The sequence below is a fragment of the Homo sapiens genome, chromosome 6 (assembly GCF_000001405.40).
Source record: "Homo sapiens chromosome 6, GRCh38.p14 Primary Assembly".
NCBI classification, from domain to species: Eukaryota; Metazoa; Chordata; class Mammalia; order Primates; family Hominidae; genus Homo; species Homo sapiens.
The window spans coordinates 87,393,694-87,401,640 of record NC_000006.12 but is presented as its reverse complement, the minus strand read 5'-3'; the positions used below and the strand labels follow the sequence as shown (position 1 = coordinate 87,401,640).

The following is a 7,947-nucleotide window of genomic DNA, read 5'->3' as shown; positions in this document are numbered from 1 at the left end:
GTAGTCCCAGCTACTCGGGAGGCTGAGGCAGGAGAACGGCGTGAACCCGGGAGGCGGAGCTTGCAGTGAGCCGAGATCGCGCCACTGCAGTCCAGCCTGGGCGAAAGAGCCAGACTCTGTCTCAAAAAAAAAAACAAAAAAAGAATCCTTTTCTTTTTTTCTTCTCTTTTTTAAGAGACAGATTCTTTCTCTGTTGCCCAGGCTGGAGTGCAGTGGTGTGATCATAGCTCACTGCAGCCTTGAACTCCTGGGCTCAAGGGATCCCCCTGCCTCAGCCTCCTGAGTAGCTGGGACTACATGTATGCACCACCACACCTGGTGAATTTTTAAATTTTTTTGTAGAGACAAAGTCTTGCTACATTGCTCAGGCCGATCTCCAACTCCTCGGCTCAAATGATCCTCCCACCTTGACCTCTCAAAGTGCTGGGGATTATAGGCATGAGCCACAGCACCTGGCCAAGAATCTTTAAAGGTAAGATGAATGACGAAAGAAAGCCTTAATTCTTCATTTTCCATCTCTTTCTCCATCGCATGAATCAGTCAGTGGAGAAATAAGGGACCTTAGCATCAGATTTTCACCACTTAAATCAGGGAGGGTAATTGAGGCATTTAAGGAAGATAAACAAGCATAGGGCTTTTTTATATATTACAAAAGAAGTCAAAATTATAAGAGCACAAAAATGAAAAAAAAAGAATCAGTGAATTCTGTTATAATCATCAAGCTTCTATAAAAAGTGGGGGCAATAGTGGTTCTTCTTTCTTAGAATTATAAACCAGGTGCAACTTCATACACATACCACATGGTCTTAATTAGGAAAACAGGATTCAAAGCATCAAAATCTTTGCTACTGTAGCATGTGTGGCAATGATTCTCAACTCTAGAGAGTGAAGGACAGCATATCAGCCATGCATTGGCAGCCCACCATGAGCAACTCTGATATGTGCTACTGATCTATTTTGTATATGTGGAAAATGTCGCTGTGTAGCTTTTCTTAAAGGTGAATATCTCCCTGTCTTTTGCTCACCCACCCTCGCACCCATCTACCCAATCCTTAACTAATGACCAAGTCTTTATTAACTTCTCTTGAACCAACTTGCTTTCTCCATTCCCACTTCTCCCACGTTCATTAAAGCAACTGTCTTTGCTTGCTTAGATGACTGCAATGAAGAACTAATTGAGCTCCCTGCCTCTCCAGTTTTGTACTCCCCCAATTATTTGCCTAAACTTATCTTTCAAAAATAGAAATCTGATCATGTCATTCCCTGCTCAACACCTTGTAAAGGTTTCTCAATGGTCTTTGGGTAACTCCAGACTCCTTGGCATGGTATACGAAGCCGTTAATGTCAACCTCAGCTTTCACAACTGCCTCTCCTCTCCTGACAGACTGCACTGTTGCCATTCTCTGGCCATGTTGCATTAACTTCCATTTTTTTCTGGGCTCCAGACCTTTGCCTAGAGGTTACTCCCTCTATCTCTGAATGTCCCCTTTCCTCTTCATCTGATTAATTCCTCCATGTCTTCAGAAGCCATCTCTCCTATGAAACTTTCTCTGACCGGCGATACTGGGTTTAGGGTCCTAAACCTTCACCTCTAACTAGTTCCAAAACATTTCCACCACTGCAAAAAGAAACTTCATACTTATCAAGCAGTAACTCCCCATTTCTCCATTCCCCCACTGCTTACACCTGACAAAGCTCTCAATACTCTATGGAAGTCTATTTTCCTGTCTGTCTCTCCCACTAGACCATAGCTCTTTGAAGACAGGGAGCATACCTTGTTGAGTTCCCCACACCTAAGAAGAGAGCCTGGGATGTAATAGTCACAGTTGACCATCTGGGTTAAAGAGGTGAGTATAGAAGTGAGTAGGTTAAAAAAGAGGGTGGGGGGAGATTTTTAAACATCTTTAAATTAATGTCTTTACTAAAGGGTTAGAATGATTTCAGAAGGAAATTACAATTTTGAAGGGAAAGGAAAAGACATTGAAATTACAGGTTTCAGAAGAAGAGCTTCCTCTGACTCCAGCTTTGGCTCTCCTGCCTTGGGATCCCCAACCCACCCCCAAGCACCCTTGTATGCATTCCTCAGGAAGAGGGATGTTGTTCTCAGTGTTTTCCTCTTCCATCCGTGCCTCAAACTAGGCAGCTTCCAATGGTGCCCTGGGCTTCAGAAGGTGGCCACTGAGCTGACCTCTAGGCTTGCAGGCTTCCTAGGAGAGCAGGTAGTGGAGGTGGGTATGGGGGATGGTGACTGGGCTCCAGTTTGAATTTCATCTTTATGATTCCCTCCCACTATGGGAAGCATTACGGCATGAATCCCAACGACGAAGTTTAATTTGGGACAGTCTAAACCCTTATTAAAGTCATACTATTTTCTCAATCATCAAGAAAACTGCCTTTCTCTGTAGTCCATAAGTCCTCAATTTTGTGAGGAGGAATTTTTTTTTTTTTTTTTTTTGAAACAGAGTCTCACTCTGTTGCCCAGGCTGGAGTGGAGTGGTACAATCTCACTGCAACCTCCACCTCCCAGGTTACAGTGATTCTTGTGTCTCAGCCTCCCAAGTAGCTGGGATTACAGGCACATGCCACCATGCCCGGCTAATTGTTGTATTTTCAGTAGAGACAGGGTTTCACCATATTGCCCAGGCTGGTCTCAAACTCCTGGCCTCAAGTGATCCCCCACCTCGCCCTCCCAAAGTGCTGAGATTATAGGCATGAGCCACCATGCACAGCTAAGAAGGAATTTTTTGGATCTCCTTCCACCTTTGCTGAAATTCTAAAAAAGCTGCATTCCACTTTTAGCAGCTGTTTTCTTATGGCTGAATAAATGCCAGAGATGCCATCAGATTACTTTAATTCAACTGTCTCTCAGTTGACGAGGGCTGAACTGTCAGTTTCCTCTTGGCACAATGCAAGTAGAAAGATAGTAATAAGTGGCTGGGAGCAGTGGCTCATGCCTGTAATCCCAGCACTTTGGGAGGCCTAGGTGGGTGGATCACGTGAGGTCAGGAGTTCGAGACCAACCCGGCCAACGTACAGAAACCCCATCTCTACTAAAAATACAAAAATTAGCCAGGCATGGTGGCACTTGCCTGTAATCCCAGCTATTCAGGAGGCTGAGGCAGGAGAATCACTTGAACCTGGGAAGCGGAGGTTGGGGTGAGCCAAGATCACGCCATTGCACTCCAGCCTGGGAGACAGAGTGCAAGACTCCATCTCAAAAAAAGAAAAGAAAAGAAAAAGAAAGAAAGATAGTAATAACTCACCTGAATTTCTCGTCAGCACTTCAGGATCATGATCTCTAACACTCATCTTCTCTCTGTCACACTCAGGGTTGGGGTGCAGCCCCAGCTGAGGTCTGAGGACAGTGGGTGGATGTGGGGCAGGGAGCTGGAAGAACACTGGAGAGACAGCAGGTAAATGAGACATGGCTTTATTCAGCAGCCCCTTCACAGGGTCAGTGTTACATTTATACACTACACAAACACTAGTGGCTGAGAGCCAGGTGGGGAGCTGCTCTATGTTATGCCTACATGGCTGTGACTATATAAGACACAGGACTGTGCACTTGCACCCCAATCCCGCTGAGATGTCTAGGCTGTTTACCTCGGCCTATTCCTGCTACCCTATGCCTGCTTGGCTACAGCACAGCCATGTTCCTTACACTCTCCAAACCTGTCCCACTCTCTGCATTCTTTATGGGATGAATTGGCATTGATTTAATAGCTGGCTCAAACCTGATCCCACTTCCCCCACTCCCTCTCCCCTCACACTCAGACCTGTCACTAAGCCTGTCCAGCCCTTCTCAGCAAGTCTCACATCCATTTCCTTCCCTAATTACTAATGCTCTCACTCAGGCAGGTTATGGGAATCTCCTAACTGTATTATCTGCTTCCAGGCTGGGGCACTCCCACAGGCAAAGCTGATAATATTACTGCCTGTGTACTGCCCTTTCTGCAGACCACAGAAGGCCCTGCAGAAGAAAATTCAGTCCTCCTCAATGGGATGCAAGACCCTCCTGCAACTGGCCTCTGTTTATCTCTAAACCTGCACTGTTCAATATGGTAGCCACTAACTGATGAAACTATTTAAATTTAAATTAGCTAGAATTAAATGAAAGTTAATATTCAATTCTTCAGTTGTACTGGCCAAATGTGGCTAGAGGCTACCGTATTGGACAGTGACAATATAGAACATTTCCATCATTGTAGAAAATTCTGTTGGATACTTACCTTACCCCTACTGCACCTGAACTCAAATTTTCAAATGATCCGCACCTTTGAGCATACTGTGCTTTAGCTGAGGCAACCTCCTTTAATTGGATTACTTACCTTGCCAACGATGCCCTTCAAAACACAGATCAAATGTCATCCTATTCAGAGAAGCCTTTCCAGCCAAGCCTCCCACTCTTGTGCAAGTGATCACTTCCTCATTTGGACGCCCATTGCACTCTCTGCAGACTTCTACCATAGCGCCCCTAACACTCCATGTCACCTAGTGTTCATGTCTGTTTCCCTTTACTACAGTGTGAGCCTGGGCTGGGGTCAGGAACCCAATCTTATTCATTTTTCTAGCCCCAGCTCTAGACTAATGCCTGACATATAGGATATGCTAAGAACTAATTTTGTGAATGAATAAATATTACCAATAAATATTCTAAGGTCAAGATTTTATCAGACTTCAGAAACAAGAGAATGCCCCAATTTAAATGCCTCACTGACAGGTAAAAACTTTGAAGAGGAAATATATTTCCAGAATGATCATCGAAATACTGGATATGCTCTTTTAAGTCGCAATGTCATGCTAGAGTTGTGTTCCATTTACAACTAACCCACGAGAGGCATGACAATTGGAGTGGATAATTGAGATGGTTTGACAGGTATAGCGAGGTGTGGCTGACTGCACACGAAGGAAATTCCAGCTTCAGCAATTATTAGATACACACCTACGACATTAAAAGCATGAAGATTTGGCTAGTCAATTCAAATATTAAGTGTCTAGGCTTAAAAATATTTTATTGGGACATTTTCCATTATAAAAATAAGACATGCTCTTTATGAAAATTTGGGAGTACAAATCTGCCACCCATAGATTCATTAACAAAGGATTAATGTTGTTAACATGTTCATGTAATGACTCACCTTATCTACATTCTTACCATATCTTATGTTACTCCTTTACAGTCAACATTACAACACAGACATTTTTATATCTTATTATGGGCTGTATTTTTAATAGCTGTATAATATGCAATTGAGTGGATGTGTCATAATTTACTGAAGTATTCCCACTATTATGTAGTATATTTTCAAGTTTTCACCATTATAAATAACAGTGGAGTTATTTGAGTATAAGAATTTTTTGTATCGCATGTAATTTATTCAGATTCCCAGATGTGAAATATCTGAGTTTTTAAATATCTGCTTCATTTGCTACTTTATTCCTAGTACCTAGAACAATGCCTATCCCATGGTAGGTATTTTATTAATAATTGTTTAATGAATATGAGATGTTAATTAAGTGGAAAAAAGCTGGCTTGATATGTAGACACCAAAAGCATGTCATAGGCATGTCTTGTGACAGGTTCCAGGGAAGACTTTGTCCCCACTTTTAAAAAAATTAATAAATTTTATTTTTTAGAGCAATTTTAGGTTCACAGCAGTATTGAGTAGAAAGTACAAAGTTCCCGTCTATCCCTATCCCCACACACCTAACCTCCCTGGCTACTGACATCCTGCACCACGGTGGCACATGTTATAATTGATGAACCCATCATTATCACCTGAAGTCCATAGTTTAGGATTCACTCTTGGTGCCGTGGAATCTATGGGTTGGGACAAATGTATAAGGACAGGTATCCACCATTACAGTATCATACAGAATAGTTTTACTGTTATAAAAATGCTCTGTGCTCTATCATCCCTCCCTTCCCCCAACCCCTGGCAACCACTGATCTTTTTACTGGAGTACAATTGTTGAACCACATGGTAAGACTATGTTTAGTTTTGTAAGAAACTGCCAAACTGCTTTCCAAAGTGGCTATACCATTCTGCATTCCCACATGTCAGCAGAGAAAAGAATTCCAATTTCTTCACGTCCTTGGCAGCATTTGTTGTTGTAAATGTATTGTTTTGGCCATCCTAATAGGTGTGTAGTAGTATGTTATTGTTATTTTAATTTGCAATTCCCTAATGACATATGATGTTGAACACCTTTTCATATGCTTAATTGCCATCTATATATCTCCTTTAGTGAGATATCTGTTGAAATTTTTTGCTCATTTTAAAAGTTGGGTTTTTTGTTTCATATTGTTTAGTTTTAAGGGTTCTTTGTATGATGTGGTTAACAGTCCTTTATCACATATGTGTTTTGCAAAAATGTTATCCAAGTCTGTGGCTTGTGTTTTCATTCCCTTAACAAGGTATTTTGCAGTGCAGAAGTTTTCAATTTTCATGAAGCCCAACCTATCCATTTTTTCTTTTATGGATGATGCTTTTGGTATTCTATTAAAAAATCATCATCAAATTCAAGGTCATCTAGTTTTTTTCTGTTATATCCTATAGGTTTTATAATTTTGTGTTTTACATTTAGGTCTGTTATCATTTTGAGTTAATTTTTGTGAAGGCTATAGAGTTTGTGTCTTCATTTTTTTTTCTTTTTTTCTTTTTTGCTTCTGGATGTCCTGTTGTGCCAGCACCTTTTGTTGAAAATATTATCTTTTCTCCTTTGGATTGCCTTTGCACCTTTTTCAAAAGAATTGACTATGTCTGTGTGGGTCTATTTCTGGACTCCTTATTCTGTTCCACTGATCTATTTATTTATTCTTTGGCTTATACCACACTGTCTGGTAGCTTTTCAGTAAGCCTTGAAGTCAGGTAGTATCAGTCAGTACATTTACTTTTCATGTCTTTTCCCTCTTTTACTGTTCTAATTAAAACTTCCAGTTCAATTTTGAATAGTAGCAGTAGTAATACTCAGTTCCACTAGCTTAAAATAAATGCTTGCATTACCCCTTTAAGTATGATGTTTGCTGAAAATGAAAAAATAAATATCATTTTTCTGGTTAAGGACATCCCTTGCTCTTTCTTTCTTTCTTTTTTTTTTTTTTTTTTTTTTGAGACAGAATCTCACTTTGTTGCCAGGCTGGAGTGCAGTGGCATGATCTCGGCTCACTGCAACCTCTGCCTCCCGGGTTCAAGCAATTCTCCTGCCTCAGCCTCCCAAGTAGCTGGGACTAAAGGCATGTGCCACCACACCTGGCTAATTTTTTGTATTTTTAGTAGAGATGGGGTTTCATCGTGTTAGCCAGGATGGTCTCATCTCCTGACCTCGTGATCCGCCCACCTCAGCCTCCCAAAGTGCTGGGATTACAGGCATGAGGTACCACGCCCAGCTGAAAATTTTCATTTTAACAAGCATTCCAGGTTATTCTAGTTCAGGTGGTCCAGGGGTACACACTTTGCAAAAGTAGCTAATCTAAAATACCATGTGCAGCAAGCACTTTTCCATTTTTCAATATTATGTACAAATTCTGTCTTTGATTCTGATGGACAATGATACATGTGTGCATTAGGCATTTAAAAAAATAGGTTATCCCTGTCAGCAACTTAGTAATAAAAATGACTTGAAGTACCAAAAATGAGAGCATAGTTTATTGATACTTATAAAATTTGTAATCAATATCAGTGTTGCAGACTAATTTTTATGATCTGATTGTAATTTAGTCACATGTGATTGAAATCTGCAGTGGCCCAGATTTGCTCTATTTGTAGACTTTCTCCCACAGTACCCCAGAACAGAGGATTCTAGCAAACCTCAGATCGATAAGGAGTAACAGGATGGGACAATGGGTCGAACTGGCCAGAATGGAGCTGAGATTACCAGCTGTAGAATTTAAGCAGGTCCACTTGACGGAAAAAGAGAGACTAACTGGAGCTACTACTTATTTCT

At 41.2% G+C, this 7,947-nt stretch overlaps 1 long non-coding RNA gene across 1 annotated transcript; it reads right to left on the bottom strand.

Annotated features, from left to right (window-relative positions):
- Positions 1–1,899: 1,899 nt before the first annotated feature.
- LINC01590 (long intergenic non-protein coding RNA 1590) lies at positions 1,900–4,517 on the bottom strand. The gene is made up of 2 exons (NR_026784.1): positions 3,264–4,517; positions 1,900–2,203 (listed from the first exon to the last, which is right to left on the bottom strand). It is a non-coding gene; the product is annotated as a long intergenic non-protein coding RNA 1590 (long non-coding RNA).
- Positions 4,518–7,947: the final 3,430 nt, after the last annotated feature.